The sequence below is a fragment of the Homo sapiens genome, chromosome 17 (genome assembly GCF_000001405.40).
Source record: "Homo sapiens chromosome 17, GRCh38.p14 Primary Assembly".
In the NCBI taxonomy this organism is placed as follows: Eukaryota; Metazoa; Chordata; class Mammalia; order Primates; family Hominidae; genus Homo; species Homo sapiens.
In genome coordinates, this window is record NC_000017.11 from 31,169,073 (window position 1) to 31,192,540 (window position 23,468).

The window sequence follows — 23,468 nt, forward strand, 5'->3', positions numbered from 1 at the left end:
ATAACAGGCTTGTGTGTTTTAATTTATTGTATGTGTTTCCATTGTAGACATAATTCTTTTGATCCTCAGATTATCCCATTTTTGACAGTTGAGATGCCTAAAGTGCATACCTGTGTGATATTTGACATGGTTCTGATAGTTGTTGATAGTTTCCTGTTTTCAAGCCCAAGGTGACCTGCCCTCACCTTGTATATCTCTTGCCCCCATCCTGGAATTAACTAATTTTCCCAAAGAACCCTGGCCGAAAGTCGGCAATATTTAGACACCTCAATCTTAAGGATAAGGATGCTACGATGCTACGTTTACTGAATTATCATGGTTTCTTTTATCATATCCCTTGTTTGTTATGTTCCTTTAGGTTTTTATAAGAAATATTTATTGCCTTATTTTTATATATGTCTTTACTCTTATGAACTCATCTTTGGGGGAAGAATCTGTTGAATTCAGAATTTAGGGATACCCGAAGACTTTTTTTGTTTTTGTTTTTTTTAAGAGATAGGGCCCACTCTGTTACTCAGGCTGAAGTACAGTGGTGTGATCACAGCTCATTGCAGCTTCAAACTTCTAGGCTCAAGAGATCCTCCTCCCTTAGCCTCCTGAGTAGCTGGGCCTATAGGTGTGTGCCATCATGCCCAGCTAATTTTTGTATTTTTTTTAGAGATGATGTCTTGCTATGTTGCCCAGGCTGGTCTTGAACTCCTGGCCTCAAGTGGTCCTCCTGCCTTGGCCTCCTGAAGTGCTGGGATTACAGGTGTGAGATACCACACCTGTCCCCTAATACTTAATTTGATAAGTTAATTTTGGTTTTTACTTTTTAGGTTACAGGAATTAACTGTTTGTTCAGAAGACAATGTTGATGTTCATGATATAGAATTGTTACAGTATATCAATGTGGATTGTGCAAAATTAAAACGACTCCTGAAGGGTAAGTTTAAATGTATAATATATCTGAAAAAAATCACTGGGTCAAAAACTAGTATCATGAATGTACTAATTATATTAATTGTGCTGAACTAGAACACCAAACTGGATTTTATAATGACATTTCCTTGTGAAATAACCAGTAATACAAATGGGTAATTATTTTTCAATCTTTGAAAATAATGCAGTAGAGAAAATGAGCATTTTAAATCTTGGCAATGGAAAGTTTTGCTTAACTACAATTTTTGTTTTCAATACAGAGAATGCAAGGGTGCTATTATTTCATTTTTCTGGAATTTGATCTCTCAAGGGTGGCTATAGGTTATAGAAGCTATCTGTTTAGCTATTGTAGCACTTTACAAAGATTGTCTGTAGTAGGATATCAAAGTTTTATTGCAGAATGGAACGAGGAGATTGTGATGTTATGGTGAGAGGATGAATTGAGCCAGAGATTTCATTTCTGACATTTCTGTTTTCAGCTCTCTACTGACTGACTTTATAGCATTACAAAGTCCCTTAACCTTCCATTGCCGGTTTTGTCTCCTTGTAGAACATGTCAGTAGTAGTTCCACATGGGGATATTATAACACCTAATATGTGACTTTAAAGCTTGGGAAGTACTTTACATGATTATGTGGATTGAAATAAACGATCAGAAGGAATTGAGATATGTTCTGTAGTAAGCAGTGATGTGTTAATGTAAATCAGATACCAATGAGTATTCATAAACTGAGTATGATCTGAAGGAATTGAGATAAATTCTGTGGTAAGCAGTGATGTATTCATGTAAATCAGATATCAATGAATATTCATAAACTGAGTATGAATATCTAAATTTCATTTTACAAAAAAATGTTTTTTAGTTTTTGGCATTATTAGACCCTGGCTAATTTAGATATGAAACCGTATACAGTTCACACATATTTTTATTTGTAACTTAAGGAATTGTCAAACAATAATATTTTTAATATCTGACCTAAAACAGATTGAATTATATTAGCTTCAGAAACATCAGTTCTGCAATGTAGTTTTCAAAATACGTGTTTTTGTTTTCTTAATATTTCCTTTAAACTCAATAACTATCTCACCAGAGATGTAAAAAGGCAATACCTATATAAAGGAATAATATAAAGCTGTGTTCTATTCATATTACCCTTGTTCATAATTTATGATTTTAGGTCATTACCATTGTGAAACCAAGCAACAATTAATTCAGTAACTTTAATAAAGGAAAATATAGGGGTGATTTTAGCTGTTATGCCAAGATACAAACATGTGGACAGCAATTATTTTAGATTATAATAAACCACCATTGAATTAATAGTTGAGATTTGCAAGATTTTGATATCTATTATTAAGCGTTGAGCAGTTGAGAAACTGAATGGTAAAATTTAGAGATCTCTATGAATTAAAGTTAAGAAGTATTAGTGGGATTTTATGATTTTTCATAACTATTCAGTGATGTTTTGGAAACAAGTCTAGTCCAGGTTGCCTGTGAATAGCTGTTTAAAACAATAGAAATGTTCAATCCGTAATAATTAACTGAAATGTCTCTTCTGTCCAAATAAGAGAAACTAATTGAATGTGTGGATAAATGACTTTCTTTTATACTGAAGTAACTTTCCCATCGAATGCGGCTCCCTCATGAACATAAATTTAGAGTATATGCTGATAAATATATAAAGTATAAAACCGATATTAAATAGGCCAGCAAAATATGGCTCTTGGTGACAGTGGTAAAAGGAATGCACCCTTTCAGTAATGAGTAGTAAAGGTAGTAATGTGTTTTAAATACAACTCAACAAGCCTTTGTTGAGAAACTATGTATAAGAAGCCATGCTAAGTGCTGGGATTACAAAAATTAATAAAATATGGAATCTGTCCCTAAGGAGCTCATGGCATGGTTTATGAGACAAGTGATGTCATTATCAAGTTATTTGCAGAAAAAAACTATGATAAACTCAAATAGGGTGAGTGTAAAGTGAGAGAGGAAGTATATATTTGTTTGAGGGGATGAGAGATGAGCAAGATGTGAAGGTACAAGAATAGGTCAGATCATTTTAATAAAAATATGGCCAGGCCTGGTGGCTCACACATGTAATCCCCACACTTTGGGGAAGCCGAGGCAGGAGGATTGCTTGAGCCAGGGCAACATAGAGAGACCCCCATATATACAAAAAAAAATTAGCTGGGTGTGCTGACACGCACCTGTAGTCCCAGCTACTTGGGAGGCTGAGGTGGGAGGATCACTTGAGCCCAGGAAGAGGTTGAGGTTGCAGTAAGCTGTGATTGTGCCACTGCATTCCAGCCTGGGTAACAGAGTGAGATCCTGTCTCTGTCTGTCTCTCTGTCTCTCTGTCTCTCTCTCTCTCTCTCTCTTTCTCTCTTTCTCTCGATATACCTATCTGTATATAGATATATCAATCGATATGTGTATATCCAGATCTGTCTATAGATATATCTGTATCTTGATAGATATATCGAGAGAGAGAGAGAAACATTTGTTATATTTTCAGTCTGCACCGGGCCTTGCGCTATGCAGTTTGCATGCCTTTTCTCATCAATTCTTACAATAACCCTGTGACGCAATACTAGTATTAATATTATCATCTCTTGTGTAGATGAGGAAACTGAGGCCTCAGTAAATTTTCAAAGTCACAGAGCTAGTAATTGTTCAGTAAAGATTGAGTTCACATCTGCTCGTCTCTAGAACCTAGATACTTGACTGCTGCACTGTTGTGCTTATGAGTTACGAAGCTTTATTTTAGTGGCCCTGGGAAGTGATAGAAAGGCTTTGAGGTAGAGAATACCTTAATCAGTATTTTATTTTAGATATACCCCTTTGCTTGAAATTTGCAGGATGGCTTGGTAGAGGGTTACCTGAACTTCTGGGACTTGGTTATGCAGTAATATAAGTGAAAAATAATGAGAGTTGTGGAGATCCAGATGATGGATTGGGGTAGGGTAAGGATGGGGACCAGTTTGATAGGTATTTAAAGAAGTGGAGGCTGGGCGCAGTGGCTCACACCTGTAATCCCAGCACTTTGTTAGGCTAAGGTGGGCGGATCACTGAGGTTAGGAGTTCGAGACCAGCCTGGCCAACATGGGGAAACTCCGTCTCCATTAAAAATACAAAAAATGGGCTGGGCGCGGTGGCTCACGCCTGTAATCCCAGCACTTTGGGAGGCTGAGGCAGGTGGATCACGAGGTCAGGAGACCATCCTGGCTAACACGGTGAAACACTGTCTCTACTAGAAATACAAAAAATTAGCCAGTCGTAGTGGTGGGCGCCTGTAGTCCCAGCTTCTTGGGAGGCTGAGGCAGGAGAATGGCATGAACCCGGGAGGCAGAGCTTGCAGTGAGCCGAGATTGTGCCACTGCACTCCAGCCTGGGCAACAGAGTGATACTCCGTCTCTAAATAAATAAATAAAATAAAATAAAAATACAAAAAATTAGCCGGGTGTGGTGGCACGTGCCCATAATCCCAGCTACTCGGGTGGCCGAGGCACAGCAGAATCGCTTGAGCCTGGGAGATGGAGGTTGTAGTGAGCCGAGATCACGCCATTGCACTCCAGCTTGGACAACAAGACCGAAACTCCATCTAAAAAAAAAAAAAAAGAAATGGAATACATAGCATTTGATAGTCAATTTAGATATATGAGGTTAGAGAGATATCACCAAATATTACAGAATAAGCTGGTTAGAGCAGAAAAGGGAAGGAAAGGTTGATGGCAGAAGAGAGGGTTTGACCAGGAAAATGATAAATTCAGTTTTAGATCTTCTGAGTTTGAGGTATCAGTAGGATGTCCAACAAGAAACTTGTAGAACTGAAAGATACTTTGGCTTTGAGAGTAGATTATGGTATATAACACATTTAAGATGTCATAAAGGTAAAGTTGTTGCTAAAGAGCACTGTGAAGAGTAATGTCATTATTTGGAAATCAGTGGAGGGTGAGAGCAAAGAGAATTCAAAGGGGTACTTTTAAAAACTGATTTGGAGAGTTACTTATTTGCAAGTCCAGAAAAAAGACTCATCTCTCTCTTAGACACTTACATAGATGTAATAAAAACCTTTATCCCTTCATTAAAAGTCAACAGGAGAAGTTCTTTGCCGAGGGACCATTGCCAGTAAAATCGCTTATAGACAGGTCATTTTTTCCAAACATAAATCTTTTTCTAGATGTGGACAATAAACTTAAAGAAGAAGAAATTAAAATACCCAATATATTTATATGGAGAAATGTTTACTGTTACTTGCGTTAAAATGCAGTCTACTATTTTGAACACTCCAATTAGCAAAATAAAGAAAATGAACATACTTTTATGATGACAAAGATAGGATGAAGGCACTTTCGTATGCTGCTTGGTGATAGCAGCATTTGGCCCAACCCTAGTGAAAGGCAGCTTGGTAATCTTTATCAAGGGCCCTAAAAATATTCATCTCTTTGACTGGACACTTCTAGAGATTCCTTATCTTAAATAAGCAGTGATGTGGGAAAAGATGTTGATATGAAAATATTTGTTAATGTTATTTATAATAGTGAAATAACAGAAATAACCTCAGTGTTAAAACTGGAAAACATTAAATAACCAGTCACTTAATACAGTGACTTAAATATTATGAGGGGCATCAAAGCATACTGAAAAGACCTTGGTTTTAAAGCCCAATTCAATCATTTATTAGATCTGTAACCTTAGACACACAGTTTGTTCATCTGTAATACTCTGAAAACATTAAGATTCAAAAAGAATTAAGTGTATCATACTAAAAATACATGATATGTTTTAATAGTTTGTGTAATAGTTACTATTGCATATAGAGCCATCAAAAATAGGCCAGGCACAGTGGCTCACACCTGTAATCCCAGCACTTTGGGAGGCCTACGTGGGCGGATCATGAGGTCAGGAGTTCGAGACCAGCCTGACGAACATGGTGAAACCCCATCTCTACTAAAAATACAAAAATTAGCTGGGTGTAGTGGCGCACGCCTGTAATCCCAGCTACTGGGGAGGCTGAAGCAGGAGAATCGCTTGAACCTGGGAGACGGAGGTTGCGTGAGCCAAAATTGTGCCATTGCACTCCAGCCTGAGCGACAGAGCAAGACTCCATCTCAAAAAAAAAAAAAAAAAAAAAAAAAGAGTTTTTACTGATACAGAAATAATTAGGGATACTATGGAAAAGAACAGGTTTGATACAGCTTATATGATCTCAGTTATGTTAAATATATTTGTTTTCTACATGCATAGGAAAAGTGGTAGAAGTAAAACCACCAGATGTTAACTGTGATTGTCTCTGAATGATAGAATCATTGATGGTTTTAAAAATTTCCCATAAACACCTGTGCTTTTGCTTTTTTTTTTTTTTTTTTTTTTTGGACAGAGTCTTGCTCTGTCGCTCAGGCTGGCATGCAGTGACATGATTATAGTACACTGTAGCCTTGAAATCCTGGGCTCAAGCTATCTTCCCACTCCTGCTTTCGAAAGTGCTGAGATTATAGGCGTGAGCCATCGGGCCTGGCCCTGTATATGTTTTCCAAATTTTTTAATTATACTTTAAGTTCTGGGGTACATGTGTAGAACATGCAGGTTTGTTACATAGGTGTCCATGTGCCATGGTGGTTTGCTGCACCCATCAACGCATCATCTACCTTAGGTATTTTTCCTAATGCTATCCCTTACCTCAGCCCCCACCCCCCGACAGGCACCGATGCGTGATGGTCCTCTCCCTGTGTACATGTGTTCTTATGGTTCATCTCCCACTTATGAGTGAGAACATGTGGTGTTTGGTTTTCTGTTCTTGTGTTTGCTGAAAATGATGGTTTCCAGCTTCATCCATGTCCCTGCAAAGGACGGGAACTTATCCTTTTCTATGTCAGCATAGTATTCTGTGGTGTATATGTGCCACATTTTCTTTATCCAGTCTATCATTGATGGGCATTTGGATTGGTTCCAAGTCTTTGCTGTTGTGAACAGTGCTGCAGTAAACATACGTGTGCATGTGTCTTTATAGCAGAATGATTTGTAATCCTTTGGGTATATACCCAGTAATGGGATGGCTGGGTCAAATGGTATTTCTAGTTCTAGATCCTTGAGGAATCGCCACACTGTCTTCCACAATGGTTGAACTAATTTACACTCCCACCAACAGTGTAAAAGTGTTCCTATTTCTCCACATTCTCTCCAGCATCTTTTCTTTCCTGACTTTTTAATGATCGCCATTCTTACTGGCGTGAGATGGTATCTCATTGTGGTTTTGATTTGCATTTCTGTAATGACCAGTGATAATGAGCTTTTCTTTATATGTTTGTTGTCTTCTTTTGAGAAGTGTCTGTTCATATCCTTCATCTACTTTTTAATGGGGTTGTTTGTGTTTTTCTTGTAAATTTAAGTTCTTTGTAGGTTCTGGTTATTAGCCCTTTGTCAGATGGGTAGATTGCAAAAATTTTCTCCCATTCTGTAGGTTGCCTGTTCACTCCGATGGTAGTTTCTTTTGCTATGCAGAAGCTCTTTAGTTTAATTAGATCCCATTTGTCAATTTTGGCATTTGTTGTCATTGCTTTTGGTGTTTCAGTCATGAAGTCTTTCCCCATGCCTATGTCCTGAATGGTATTGCCTAGGTTTCTTTCTAGGGTTTTTATGGTTTTAGGTCTTATGTTTAAGTCTTTAATCTATCTTGAGTTAATTATTGTATAAGGTGTAAGGAAAGGGTCCAGTTTCAGTTTTCTGCATATGGCTAGCCAGTTTTGCCAGTACCATTTATTAAATAGGGAATCCTTTCCCCATTGCTTGTTTTTGTCAGGTTTGTCAAAGATCAGATGGTTGTAGATGTGTGGTGTTATTTCTGAGGCCTCTGTTCTGTTCCATTGGTCTATGTATCTGTTTTGGTACCAGTACCATGCTGTTTTGGTTACTGTAGCCTTGTATAGTTTGAAGTCAGGTAGTGTGATTCCTCCAGCTTTGTTCTTTTTGCTTAGGATTGTCGTGGTTATGCGGGCTCTTTTCTGGTTTCATATGAAATTTAAAGTAGTTTTTTCTAATTCTGTGAAGAAAGTCAGTGGTAGTTTGATGGGGATAGCATTGAATCTATAAATTGCTTTGGGCAGTACGGCCATTTTCACGATATTGATTCTTCCTATCGATGAGCATGGAATGTTTTTCCGTTTGTTTGTGTCCTCTCTGGCTGGCATCTGGCAGGTGCCCCTCTGGGACAAAGCTTCCAGAGGTAGGAACACGCAGCAATCTTTGTTGTTCCGCAGCCTCTGCTGGTGATACTCTGGCAAACAGGGTCTGGAGTGGACCTCCAGCAAACTCCAGCAGACCTGCAGCAGAGGGTTCTGCCTGTTAGAAGGAAAACTAAGAAAGGAATAGTATCATCATCAACATCAAAGACCAAAGGTAGATAAATCCACAAAAATGGGAAGAAACCAGTGCAAAAAGGCTGAAAAAAAAACGAGCACGCCTCTTCTCCTCCAAAGGATCACAACTCCTTACCAGCAAAGGAACGAAACTGGACAAAGAATGAGTTTGACAAATTGACAGAAGTAGGCTTCAGAAGATGGGTAATAACAAACTCCTCCAAGCTAAAAGAGCATGTTCTAACCCAATGCAAGGAAGCTAAGAACCTGGAAAAAAGGTTAGACGAATTGCTGACTAGAATAACCATCTTAGAGAAGAACATAAATGACCTGATGGAGCTGAAAAATACAGCATGAGAACTTCGTGAAGCATACACAAGTATCAATAGCCAAATCAATCAAGCAGAAGAAAGGATATCAGAGATTGAAGATCAACTCAATGAAATAAAGCGAGAAGACAAGATTAGAGAAAAAAGAGTGAAAAGAAATGAACAAAGCCTCCAAGAAATATGGGACTATGTGAAAAGACCAAATCTACATTTGGTTAGTGTACCTGAAAGTGATGGGGAGGATGGAAAAAGTTGGAAAACACTCTTCAGGATATTAGCAGGAGAACTTCCCCAACCTAGCAAGGCAGGCCAACATTCAAATTCAGGAAATACAGAGAACACTACAAAGATAATCCTCGAGAAGAGCAACCCCAAGACATATAATCGTCAGATTCACCAAGGTTGAAATGAAGGAAAAAATATTAAGGGCAGCCAGAGAGAAAGGTCGGGTTACCCACAAAGGGAAGCCCATCAGACTGACAGCAGATCTCTAGGCAGAAACCCTACAAGCCAGAATAGAGTGGGGGCCAATATTCAACATTCTTAAAGAAAAGAATTTTCATCACAGAATTTCATATCCAGGCAAACTAAGCTTCATAAGCGAAGGAGAAATAAAATACTTTACAGACAAGCAAATGCTGAGAGATTTTGTCACCACCAGGCCTGCCTTACAAGAGCTCCTGAAGGAAGCACTAAGCATGGAAAGGAACAACTGGTACCAACCACTGCAAAAACATAACAAATTGTAAAGACCATCTATGCTGTGAAGAAACTGCATCAACTAATGGGCTAAATAACCAGCTAGCATCATAATAACAAATTCACACATAACACTATTAACCTTAAATGTAAACGGGCTAAATGCCCCAATTAAAAGACACAGACTGGCAAATTGGATAAAGAGTCAAGACCCATCACTGTGCTGTATTCAGGAGACCCATCTCACATGCAAAGTTACACATAGGCTCAAAATAAAGGGTTGGAGGAAGATTTACCAAGCAAATGGAAAGCAAAAAAAAGTAGGGTTGCAATCCTAGTCTCTGATAAAACAGACTTTAAACCAACAAAAAAGATCAAAAGAGTCAAAGAAGGGTATTACATAATGGTAAAGAGATCAGTGCAACAACAAGAGCTAACTACCCTAAATATATATGCACCCAATACAGGAACACCCAGATTCATAAAGCAAGTCCTTAGAGACCTACAAAGAGACTTAGACTCCCACACAATAATAATGGGAGACTTTAACACCCCACTGTCAACATTAGACAGATCAACGAGACAGAAAGTTAACAAGGATATCCAGGAGTTGAACTCAGCCCTGCACCAAGTGGACCTAATAGACATCTGCAGAACTCTCCACCCCAAATCAACAGAATGTATATTCTTCTCAGCACCACATTGCACTTATTCCAAAATTGACCACATAATTGGAATACAACACTCCTCAGCAAATGCCAAAGAATGGAAATCATAACAAAGACTCTCAGACCACAGTGCAATCAAACTAGAACTCAGGATTAAGGAACTCACTCTAAACCACACAACTACATGGAAACTGAACAACCTGCTCCTGAATGACTACTGGGAAGATAACAAAATGAAGGCAGAAATAAAGATGTTCTTTGAAACCAATGAGAAAAATACACAACGTACCAAAACCTCTGGGATACATTTATAGCAGTGTGTAGAGGGAAATTTATAGCACTAAATGCCCACAAGATAAAGCAGGAAAGATCTAAAATTGACACCCTAACATCACAATTAAAAGAACTAGAGAAGCAAGAGCAAACAAATTCAAAAGCTAGCAGAGGACAAGAAATAACTAAGATCAGAGCAGAACTGAAGGAGATAGAGACACGAAAAACCTTTCAAAAAATCAATGAGTCTCCTGACCTCGTGATCCGCCGCCTTGGCCTCAGTGAAACCCCATCTCTACTAAAAATACAAAAAAATTAGCCGGGCATGGTGGCAGGCACCTGTAGTCCCAGCTACTCGGGAGCCTGAGGCAGGAGAATGGCGTGCACCCGGGAGGCAGAGCTTGCAGTGAGCCAGGATCGTGCAACTGCACTCCAACCTGGGCGACAGAGCAAGACTCTGTTTAAAAAAAAAAAAAAATCAATGAATCCAGGAGCTGGTTTTTTGAAAAGATCAACAAAATAAATAGACCACTAGCCAGACTCATAAAGAAGAAAGAGAGGAGAATCAAATAGACGCAATAAAAAATGATAAAAGGGATATCACCACCGATCCCACAGAAATACAAACTACCATCAGAGAATACTATAAACACCTCTGTGCAAATAAACTAGAAAATCTAGCAGTAATGGATAAATTCCTGGACACATACACCCTCCCAAGACTAAACCAGGAAGAAGTCGAATCCCTGAATAGACCAATAACAAGTTCTGAAATTGAGGCAATAATTAATAGCCTACCAACCAAAAAAAGTCCAGGACCAGATGGATTCACAGCCAGATTCAGCTAGAGGAGGAGCTGGTACCATTCCTTCTGAAACTATTTCAAACAATAGAAAAAGAGTGAATCCTCCCTAACTCATTTTATGAGGCCAGCATCATGGTCATACCAAAACCTGGCAGAGACACAACAACAAGAGAAAATTTTAGGCTGATATCCCTGATGAACATCGATGCAAAAATCCTCAATAAAATAATGGCAAACTGAATCCAACAAGCACATCAAAAAGCTTGTCCACCATGATCAAGTTGGCTTCATCCCTGGGATGCAAGGCTGGTTTCAACATATGCAAATCAATGAAAGTAATCCATCACGTAAACAGAACCAATGACAAAAACCACATGATTATCTCAATAGATACAGAAAAGGCCTTTGATGAAATTCAACAGCCCTTCATGCCAAAGACTCTGAATAAACTAGGGATTGATCAAACATATCTCAAAATAATAAGAGCTATTTATGACAAACCCACAGCCAATATCATACTGAATGGGCAAAAACTGGAAGGATTCCCTTTGAAAACTGGCACAAGACAAGGATGCCCTCTCTCACCACTCCTATTCAAACTAATATTGGAAGTTCTGGCCAGGGCAATCAGGCAAGAGAAAGAAATAAAGGGTATTCGGTTAGGAAAAGAGAAAGTCAAATTGCCTCTGTTTGCAGATGACATGGTTGTATGTTTAGAAAACCCCATCGTCTCAGCCCAAAATCTCCTTAAGCTGATAAGCAACTTCAGCAAAGTCTCAGGATACAAAATCAATGTGCAAAAATCACAAGCATTCCTATACACCAATAACAGACAAACAGAGAGCCAAATCATGAGTGAACTCCCATTCACAACTGCTACAAAGAGAATAAAATACCTAGGAATCCAACTTACAAGGGATGTGAAGGACCTCTTCAAGGAGAACTACAAACCACTGCTCTAGGAAATAAGAGAGGACACAAATGGAAAACAATTCCATGCTCATGGATAGGAGGAACCAATATCCTGTATGTGTTTTATACTTTTTTTTGAAAAAGCAAGTTATTAAAAGAAAAAGCTCACAATCATTGATGTCCAAGGCATATTTGCTGTTTATGGAATTTTTCTTTCCTAGCAGACAACTATCGAGTTTTGGGTTTATGTTAGGTGTCTTTACCTTTCATTGCTTACAGATAATATTGGAGCAAAAGTAATACGTAAATGGAAAGTTATTTTGCTCTGAGTTGTATTTGTGTTAACTTATTCTAGAGTTAATTTTTAAAAATTGTGTTTTTTCCAGAAACAGCATTTAAATTTAAAGCCCTAAAGAAGGTTGCGCAGTTAGCAGTTATAAATAGCCTGGAAAAGGTAAGTTACAACCTCTCTGGTATTAAAATTTTGTTTTTGATGTAAAATTTGCTGTTGTTAGCATCCTGAATCAAAAAGTTATGACTTGAGTGATAGTTTCACATTCATTTTCAGGAAGAATACATTGTAATATTATTATGAAGGAAGTTAGAAGTTTGTGACATTTTATTTACTGTATTACAAAAAATCACTGTAAAGACATGTGGTTCTTTATTTATAGGCATTTTGGAACTGGGTAGAAAATTATCCAGATGAATTTACAAAACTGTACCAGATCCCACAGACTGATATGGCTGGTAAGGATACGATTGATTTTTTTTTTTTTTTTGTCTTTTAAATGCCTACTTGTGACATAAAAACCTATCATCGTTTTCCAAGTTATTTTTGTTATAAAGGTGCTTTTACATCTTCTATTGTCAACTGGTGTCAAATAGGAAATACTGTTTTTCTCTTACATTTCTAAATTAGGCCCAACCCTCTTCCTTTCCTTGGAGCAAACAAAGTAGTTTGAAATGAAGGTCAGATCTTTAGAGCTGTGATAGGATGGGGTGTTTGGCTCTTTGTTGTAGAGAAGCATGTGCTCTGAAGCTTTATTTTGTATTTAGGGAGATGTGTATAAAGTAGTAATATTCTCACCTATAATGTAAGACACAACTGCAAGGCAGAGAATACAGACTCCTGGAGAACTTTGGTAATTCTTTTTGGGAAGCTGTTCAGTCTTTGTTGCTTGGGTACATCACACTTTGCATAAGGCCCTTCACAGTGAGACTGAATACATGATCATCCATTCTAAAATGTGAGCTTTTCCAGGATAGATCAAGATAGCTCTTCTAACACATAGACAGTATTACATTGCTTGTCTACTTACCAGAATGCATTTGTGTAGTTGCTTAAATGAAGTTCCATGTTTATCTTTTAAAAATGTTGCCCTTGGGTTTTTACATAGTGTCAGCTTTTACTTTAATGCCAGGGATTTTGTTCCTATCTAATAATGTCATTTAATATATTTTTCATGCAGAATGTGCAGAAAAGCTATTTGACTTGGTGGATGGTTTTGCTGAAAGCACCAAACGTAAAGCAGCAGTTTGGCCACTACAAATCATTCTCCTTATCTTGTGTCCAGAAATAATCCAGGATATATCCAAAGACGTGGTTGATGAAAACAACATGAATAAGGTAAGGAGGGCAAAATTATTTCCATTATATCTAGATGTGAAGCAGTTTATTTTACTCAAGGTGTGTATTACTTTAGGCTTATTATTTAAGCAAAGTATTTCAGGGAACCATTTAAATGATCATTTTAGGTTTCTTTGTTTGATGGACTTAGAAGAGACATACTCATACATAATTTTATTTGGCAGAGGGAAAATAATACCAGGCAATGAACAAAGATTTAAAATAATCCCTTAGTTTCATTCTTTTGTCTGAGAAGACTAAACGATACCTCTGTTATTATTAAACGTAGTTTCTCTAATATTCACTACAAGGATTGCCCTACTTGAGTTCATCACTTTTATAGTGTGTTATTTGCATGTACTTAGGGTATGTGTCCATATAGTGCTACTGAAATTATCTAGTAACTCATTTTAAGTATTTTAGAACAGTTTTCAAAGAATTTTGCCAGGAAGGTAAGGCTCTCGCATATACCATCTATAGTGAAATTGGCACCATGACAACTGGTAATTCTAGGAGGCTCTTAAAATTTTTTTAAATATCACCTAGGTGATTGAAAAAAAAAAGAACTGAGTATTAATCCTAGGGTTTTACTGAAATTTCAATATGCAGTTTGTTTTGCAAATATTTTTTTTTTCATTTTTTGCTGCTTTTGGAGAAATACTCTTAGCTGGCTGAACATGAGATGGTTTCCTTCATGGTTTGCCTGTAGATGGAGATGTTCAGAATCAGCTGAATGATTTATTACTTTGTAGAAGTATTGGACCGGGAATTTATACATTAAAGGGTAAATAAATGAACCAGGTAATCCTTGAGAGTCTGTGATTGCGTGTTACTCCACTTAGGTGTATATCTCAACTTTTCCATTATGAGGACACCATTTTTCATGGTAGATTGTTTTGGAGCCCTTCAAAATAGTAGGTTTGATGATAAATACTGAGTGTCAACTTGATTGGATTGAAGGATACAAAGTATTGATCCTGGGTGTATCTGTGAAGTTGTTGCCAAAGGAGATTAACATTTGAGTCAGTGGGCTGGGAAAGGCAGACCCACCCTTAATCTGGGTGGTGCACCATCTAATCAGCTGCCAGCATGGCTGGAGTATAAGCAGGCAGAAAAATGTGAAAAGAGAGACGGGCCTAGCCTCCCAGCCTACATCTTTCTCCTGTGTTGGATGCTTCCTGCCCTCGAACATCAGACTCCAAGTTCTTTAGTTTTGGAACTTGGACTGGCTCTTCTTGCCTCTTAGCCTGCAGACGGCCTATTGTGGGACCTTGTGATCGTGCTAGTTAATAGTTAATATCCCCTTTATATAAATATTCTATTACTTCTGTCCCTCTAGAGAACCCTAATAGAGATTTTGGTACAAGGAGTGTGGTTCTAGAGGAACGGAGTATTAAGGATGGAGTTTCTTAGTTTGTTTGGGGGTTTCTGGAGTTTGCTGCTTAATATGATTAGACCCTAAAATATTAAGGACTCTACTTCTAATATTGTGGAGAACACTGATAGTCGTTGCTGTGAACTGTTTAGAGAGTTTGCAAAATAAATGCATTTGACACTCCTGATTCACCGCTAATGAGAGGCAAGGAGTTTAGTGACCCTATACATAATAATACCTTTGACCATATATGGAGAACCAAGGAACATAATGAAGCTGGTTGGTTGCTCCTAAATTCAGTGGACAAAGTGGTGAAAGAAAATGATGGGCCGGGCGCGGTGGCTCACGCCTGTAATCCCAGCACTTTGGGAGGCCGAGGCGGGCGGATCACGAGGTCAGGAGATCGAGACCATCCTGGCTAACACGGTGAAACCCTGTCTCTACTAAAAATACAAAAAATTAGCCGGGCGAGGTGGCGGGCGCCTGTAGTCCCAGCTACTCCGGAGGCTGAGGCAGGAGAATGGCGTGAACCCCAGGGGGCGGAGCCTGCAGTGAGCCGAGATTGCGCCACTGCACTCCAGCCTGGGCGACAGCGAGACTCCGTCTCAAAAAAAAAAAATAAAAAAAAAAAATAAAAAAATAAAATAGAAAATGATGAGCTCAGGGATTCTGTCTCCTGTCTTCAGAAGCAGATACTGAGCCTCAAATCTGCTAAGATTGACCTGAGTGAGACCCTTATCTCCTGTAGAAAAAGAGCTGAAATTGTGAAAAAACAAACACAAACTCTTATCATGCAAGTGGCTGACCTGCAACAAAAGGTGCATGTACAGCCTAACCAGGTGTCTACTGTTAAAGTGTGGGCATTGATTGGAAAAGAATGGGACCCTGCAACTTGGAAAGGGCATGTGTGGGAGGACCCTGATGAAGCTGGGGACTCTGAGTTTGTAAACTCTGATGAACCTTTTTTGCCAGAAGAAACAGCTTCCCCATCCCCAGTAGTGGCAACATCCCCTCCCTGAGCCATGCTGCCATCAGCCTTTCCACTTTTGTCTGAAGAGATAAACCCTGCGCTGCCTGAGGCAACAGGAATGGCCTCCCCTGAGGCAGTTGCCAGGCAAGATAATGTTGATTCTCCTCAGAAGCCACCCCCAACACCCCTGTTTGCTTCTAGACCTATAACCAGACTAAAGTCCTAGCAGGTCCCTAGAGGTGAGGCTGAGAGTGTGACCCATGAGGAGGTGCGCTACACTCGTAAAGAACTGCTTGAGTTTTCTAATTTATATAAACAAATCTTACTTGGAGAGACCTTGGTCATGTTTCACTTCCACAACATATGACACTGGTCTATTACATTAATGATATTATGCTGATTGGATTCTGTGAGCAAGAAGTAGCAAACGCACTGGACTTATTGGTGAGACGTTTGGGTGCCAGAGGATGGGAAATAAATCCGAGTAAAACTTAGGGACCTTCTACCTCAGTAAAATTTCTAGGGCTTCAGGGGTGTGGGGCCTGTCAAGATATTCTTTCTAAGGTGAAGAATATTGCTGCATTTGGCCCCTCCTACAAAAAAGAAAGAGGCACAATGCCTAGTGGGCCTACTTGGATTTTGGAGGCACCATTCCTCATTTAGGTGTGTTACTCTGGCCCATTTATCCAGTGACCCAAAGAACTGCCAGTTTTGAGTGGGGTCCAGAACAGGAGAAGGCTCTGCAACAGGTCCAGGCTGCTGTGCAAGCTGCTCTGCCACTTGGGCCATATGACCCAACAGATCCAATGGTGCTTGAAGTGTCAGTGGCAGATAAGGATGCTGTTTCGAGCCTTTGGCAGGCCCCCATAGGTAAATCACAGCGGAGGCCTCTAGGATTTTGGAGCAAGGCCCTGCCATCTTCTGCAGATAACTACTCTCCTTTTGAGATACAGCTCTTGACCTGTTACTGGGCTTTGGTGGAAACGGAATGTTTAACTGTGGGTCTTCAAGTCACCTTGTGACCTGAACTGCCTATCTATGAACTGGGTGTGTTCTGACCCATCTAGCCGTAAAGTGGGTCGTGCACAGCAGCATTCCATCATCAAGTGGAAGTGGTACATACACGATCGGGCTCAAGCAGGTCCTGAAGGCACAAGTAAGTTACATGAGGAAGTGGCTCAAATGCCCATGGTCTCCACTCATGCCACCGTACCTTCTCTCTCCCCACCTATACTGATAGCCTCATAGGGAGTTCCCTATGATCAGTTGGCAGAGGAAGAGAAGACTAGGGCCTGGTTCGCAGATGGTTCTGCACAATATGCAGGCACCACCTGAAAGTGGACAGCTGCAGCACTACAGCCCCTTTCTAGGACATCCCTGAAGCATAGTGGTGAAGGGGAATCTTCCCAGTGGGCAGAACTTTGAGCAGTGCACGTGGTTGTGTACTTTGCGTGGAAGGAGAAATGGCCAGATGTGCGATTATATACTGATTCATGGGCTGGAGCCAGTGGTTTGGCTGGATGGTCAGGGACTTGGAAGAAGCATGATTGGAAAATTGGTGACAAAGAGATTTGAGGAAGAGGTATGTGGATAGACCTCTCTGAGTGGTTAAAAACTGTGATGTTTGTATCTCATGTGAGTGCTCACCAACAGGTGACCTCAGCAGAGAAGGATTTTAATAATCAAGTGGATAGCGTGACCTGTTCTGTGGATGCCACTTAGCCTCTTTCCCCAGCTACCCCTCTCCTCGCCCAATGGGCCCATGAACAAAGTGGCCATGGTGGCAGGGATGGAAGTTATGCATGGGCTTAGCAACGTGGACTTCACTCACCAAGGCTGACTTGGCTATGGCCACTGCTGAGTGTCCAATTTGCCAGCAGCAGAGACCAACACTGAGCCCTTGATATGACATCATTCCTCAGGGTGATCAGCCAGCTACCTTGTTGATTATATTGGACCTCTTCCATCACGGAAAGGGCAGAGATTTGTCCTCACTGGAATAGACACTTACTCCTGATATGGGTTTGCCTATCCTGTATGCAATGCTTCTGCCAAGATTACCATGCATGGGCTCACCAAAGGCCTTACCCACCATCATGGTATTCCACACAGCATTGCCTCTGACCAAGGCACTCACTTTACAGCTAAAGAAGTGTGCCAGTGGGCTCATGCTCATGGAATTCACTGTTTTTGTTTGTTTGTTTTTTGAGATGGAGTGTTGCTCTGTTGCCAGGCTGGAGTGCAGTGGCGCGATCTCGGCTCACTGCAACCTCTGCCTCCCAGGTTCAAGCGATTCTCCTGCCTCAGCCTTCCGAGTACCTGGGACTATAGGTGTGCGCCACCACGCCCAGCTAATTTTTGTATTTTTAGTAGTGATGGGGTTTCACCATGTTGGCCAGGATGGTCTCAATCTCTTGACCTTGTATCTGCCCCCCTCGGCCTCCCAAAGTCTAGGATTACAGGCATGAGCCAATGTGCCTGGCCACACTGGTCTTAACCATGTTCCCAACCATCCTGAAGCAGCTGGATTGGTAGAACAGTGGAATGGCCTTTTGAAGTCACAATTACAATGCCAACTAGAAGACAGTACTTTGCAGGGCTGGAGCAAAGTTTTCCAGAAGGCTGTGTATGCTCTGAATCAGTGTCCAATATATGGTACTGTTTCTCCCATAGCCAGGATTCCCGGGTCCAGGAATCACTCACCATCACCCCTAGTGATCCACTAGAAAATTTTTCTTCCCGTTCTTGAGACATTATGTTCTGCTGGCCTAGAGGTCTTAGTTCCAGAGGGAGGAACGCTGCCACCAGGAGACACAACAACGATTCCATTAAACTGGAAGTTAAGATTGCCACCTGGACACACTTTGGGCTCCTCCTACCTTTAAGTCAACAGGCTAAGAAGGGAGTTACAGTGTTGGCTGGGGTGATTGACCCTGACTATCAAGATGAAATCAGTCTACTACTCCATAGCGGAGGTAAAGAAGAGTATGCATGGAGATCCATTAGGGCGTCTTTTAGTATTACCATGTATTGCCATGCCCTGTGATTAAGGTAAATGGGAAACTACAACAGCCCCATCCAGGCAGGACTACAAATGACCCAGACCCTTCAGGAATGAAGGTTTGGGTCACTCTACCAGGAAAAAAACCACCACCTGCTGAGGTGCTTGCTGAAGGCAAAGGGAATACAGAATGGCTAGTAGAAGAAGGTAGTCATCAATACCAGCTACGACTGCATGACCAGCTGCAGAAACAACTGTAATTGTCATGAGTATTTCCTCCTCCTTTTGTTAAAAACATGTTTGTGCATGTATACACCTGTACTAAGAAAATATCTTCATTTTATTTCCTTTTTCTTTTATCATATGACTTAAGATTTATTGACTTCACATCAGCATTTTAAGTATTGTTAACTTTTAGTATTTGGGTTGGGATAGGTGTGTTTCTGGTTGTACGAAGGATAATTGTATTATGTTAGGCATAATTATGACTTTATTGTCTTTATTTAAAGATTATGTATGATCTCAGGAGATATGTATGGGTTCAAGTTGACAAGGGGTGGACTTGTGATGGTTAATACTAAGTGTCAACTTGATTGGATTGAAGGATACAAAGTATTGATCCTGGGTGTGCCTGTGAGGGTGTTGCCAAAGGAGATTGACATTTGAGTCAGTGGGCTGGGAAAGGCAGACCCACCCTTAATCTGGCTGGCTACCATCTAATCAGCTGCCAGTGTGGCTAGAATATAAGCAGGCAGAAAAATGTGAAAAAGAGAGATGGGCCTAGCCTCCCAGCCTCCATCTTCCTCCTGTGCTGGTTGCTTCCTGCCCTCCAGCGTCGGTCTTCAAGTTCTTCAGTTTTGGAACTTGGACTGGCTCTCCTTGCTCCTCACCCTGCAGACAGCCTATTGTGGGACCTCGTGATCGTGTAAGTTAATGCTTAATAAACTCCCCTTTGTATAAGTATCTATTCCCTTAATTCTGTCCCTCTAGAGAACCCTGACTAATACAGTAGGGTGTTTTTTGTTGTTGTTGTTTATTGGAAAAATAGAAATAAATAAATAAGCTATAGATTCAGTAGTACTCGAGTGAATTTACGTTTTAATAATCACAACTGTAGCTTTCTAAGTGTTTACTGGTTATTTGTGTATCTTCAGGGAATTGCTGATTTTTCCATTGAATTGTTTGTCTTTTGTTGATTTGTAAGGGTATATGTGTACATTTTTACTTGGTTTCATTTTTAAACTTTATGAGTTCTTTTTACTATATAGATATTTAAAATTTGCATGTAGTCACCTCAGCCTTGTTCCTTTTTGTCTCCTAGCTTTTTTGGTCAGATCTCTCTTCCCAGAAGATATTATTCATTTTATTGAGATATAATTCACATATCATAAAATTTACGTTTTTGAAGTGTAAAATTCAGCGATTTTAGTACATTAACAAAGTTGTACAATCATCACCATTGTTTCTGTGCAGAACATTTTCATCTTCCCAAAAAGAAACCCGTTAGTAATCACTCCCTGTTCCTCTCGCCTCACTCGCAGCCCTTGGCAACCAGTAATCTAGTTTTTTGTCTATAGATTTACTTAATTCTAAACTAGACATTTCATACAAATGGAATCATTCAGCATGTTATGTTTTTGTCTGGCAGGTGCCAAGATTTTTGAAGTATGCTTTTTAATTTTTTTCTGGTATTTTCTAGATTTAAAAGTTTAGATTTTTAAATCTTTCTGGATTAAAAAGAAAAGTATTTTTTTTTTTTTTTTTTTTGAGACGGTGTTTCACTCTTGTTGCCCAGGCTGGAGTGCAATGGCACAATCTCCGCTTAGTGCAACCCCCGCCTCTCGGGTTCAAGCGATTCTCCTGCCTCAGCCTCCTGAGTAGCTGGAATTACAGGCATGCGCCACCACGCCCGGCTAATTTTGTAGTTTTAGTAGAGATGGAGTTTCTCCATGCTGGTCAGGCTGGTCTCGAACTCCTGACCTCAGGTGATCTGCCTGCCTCGGGCCTCCCAAAGTGCTGGGATTACAGGCATGAGCCATTGCGCCTGGCTAAAAAATGTATTTTTAAAAATGTATTACAAAAAAAAAAAAAAAAAAAAGCTGGCCATGGTGGCAGGCTCCTGTGATCCCAGCTACTCTGGAGGCTGAGCCGGGGAGAATTGCTTGAACCTGGGAGGTGGAGGTTGCCATGAGCTGAGATCATGCCACTGCACTCCAGCCTGGGCGACAGAGCGAGATTCCATCTCAAAAAACAAAAAAACAAAAAAAATAAAATAGTATTCTCACCCTTTTCTACTCACATTCCTTCTGAGCTGGTTAGTGTTATTGGCTGGTATGTATCCTTCCAGTCACATCTATTTACCCATATATTCAAATGCAAAATATACATACGTAGGGTGGTGGTGGTTGTATTTTAAAATGAAATTATTTTATGCACATTACTCTGCATCGTTGTTTATCTAAGAAAATATTTTAGCTGTTCCTCAAAATAGTTGATAGAGATCTGACACATTCCTTTCAGTATTAGGTAACATTCTGTTACACTAATGAGCCTCATTTACTCAGCCATTTCACTGAATGGGTGGATATTCAGATGTTTTCAGTTTTTTGACACTTAGCTAAGCCTTAAGTAAATATCTTGTTCATATATCCTTGTTAACTGATGCTCTTAATTCTATAGACTAGAATCTAAAAACTAGGGGTTCCTGTGTCAAGAACATTTGCATTTAAAATTTGTAATAGTTATTACTAGATTTACATTCCCCAATAGTTGCAGCAGGTCAGAGTTTCATCCCCACTGAATTGCCTATTTTCCTGCATTTTTGTCAGGATTAGCTGTTGTTAAATCTTTAAAATTTTGCCACACTAATAAGGTGAGATAGTATCTCATCTCAGGTATTCTTACCTTCTCTTTCAGAGGTAAACTGTGTGATGTGATGGATATGTTATTACCTTGATTGTGGTACTCATTTTAGAATGTATAAGTTTATCAGAACATCATGTTGTACACCTTAAATATATACAATTTTTATTTTTCAATCGTACCTCAATAAAGCTGAAAAAATGTCATTCAGAAAGGAAGCAAACAGTAGATACTAGCATTAAAAATATGTTGTAAATTTTCAAGCATAGAATGATAACATAAGGTTAGGAACAAGAATATGTGTATAGATTTAAATATTTATCTCTGTGAATATTAATCCATAGATACAAATGTTGAAGGCAAGTTACAATCTTGAAGAAAATGAAAATTATGTTGTGTACCTATAATATGAAAATAAAAAATCACACAAAGGCATATACCTTCACTCAAGGATGTATACTCGAGTATACATATTATTTATAATAGCGCAAATTTGAAAACAGCCCAAATGTCCCTCAGCTGGTGAATGAATAAACCAGTGGTGATGCCTTGGAACTGTGGAATACTATTCAGCAATAAAAAGGAACTACTGACTCGGCAACATGTGTAAATCTCAAAAATATTATGCTAAGTGAAAGAAGCCAGGGTCAAGAGATGACATACTATATGATTTCTTAAAACTTCCAGAGAAGACAAAATTCAGGACAGAAAGCAGATCAGTGGATGCCAGGAGTGAGAGTTAGGGGAGGAAATTTATTGCAAAGGAGCAGTAGGGGATTGATTGTGGTGATGTTTGAAATGTTCTATGTCATGATCGTGGTTGTAGTTACATGACTATTCTGAAAGTTCATATTTAATAAGTGATATAAAAGAAAAAAGTATTAATGGCTTAAACATTAATTTTCCAAATGAGAGCACTAATTAAAATTCTCAAGTGTTGAGAACAAAGATAGTATCTCATTGTAATTTTTATTCTTTTTAAGGTTAGTGAGGTTTGAAAACAGTTCATATGTTTCTTTGCCATTTGCATGTTTTCTTTTGCAGGTGCCTGTTGACTTCCTTTACCTATTATTCTGTTATGTTGCTTCCAGTTCCTTATGAATTCGCGGAACTTTTTGTATATTCAGAGCAGTAATCCTACATTTTTAGTCTGTAAATGTTTTTCCAGTCACCTGTTTCTTTTGACTATAGTATCTTTTTTTAAAAAGAAATATTTGAAATGTACAAAGAATGTAACAGTTTCCCATACTGCTATTAACATTTTTATATTTTGCTCATCTTTTGAGAAATTTATATATGTGTCCACGAAAAGAGTCAAACTCTATAAAATATTTTAAGAGATTTATTCTGAACCAAATACGAGTGACCATGGCCCGTGACACAGCCATCAGGAGTTCCTGAGAACATGTGCCCAAAGTGGTTGGGGTACAGCTTGGTTTGATATATTTTAGGAAGGCATGAAACATCAATCAGATACATTTAAGAAATACATTGGTTTGGTTTAGAAAGGCGCGACAACTCAAAGTGGGGGCTTCCAGGCCATAAGTAAATTTAGACGTTGTCTGGTTGACGGTTGAGTTTGTCTGAAGACTTGGGATTAATGGAAAGGAATGTCCAGGTTAAGATAAAGGATTGTGGAGACCAGATTTTGTTGTGCAGAGGAATCT

General features: G+C 39.4%; 1 protein-coding gene across 3 annotated transcripts in view, besides 3 other annotated features; it reads left to right on the forward strand.

Moving 5' to 3' along the window:
* Positions 1-23,468, forward strand: part of NF1 (neurofibromin 1) — a 282,699-nt gene that overhangs the window by 74,096 nt on the left and 185,135 nt on the right. For all 3 annotated transcript variants that reach the window (NM_001042492.3, NM_000267.4, NM_001128147.3), the window contains exons 5-8: positions 819-925; positions 12,350-12,417; positions 12,638-12,713; positions 13,436-13,593. In NM_001042492.3, the coding sequence (NP_001035957.1) occupies positions 819-925; positions 12,350-12,417; positions 12,638-12,713; positions 13,436-13,593 (409 nt within the window). The remainder of the gene's footprint in view (positions 1-818; positions 926-12,349; positions 12,418-12,637; positions 12,714-13,435; positions 13,594-23,468) is intronic.
* Positions 15,296-15,605: a mobile genetic element, noted in NCBI's record as "direction; forward".
* Positions 15,447-15,467: a non allelic homologous recombination region, noted in NCBI's record as "UAB-16 distal recombination sub-region". NCBI's record gives the evidence for it as "EXISTENCE:nucleotide sequencing assay evidence [ECO:0000219][PMID:26189818]".
* Positions 15,528-15,556: a non allelic homologous recombination region, noted in NCBI's record as "UAB-76 distal recombination sub-region, recombines with the UAB-76 proximal recombination sub-region within the NF1 intron 3 Alu-mediated recombination region". NCBI's record gives the evidence for it as "EXISTENCE:nucleotide sequencing assay evidence [ECO:0000219][PMID:26189818]".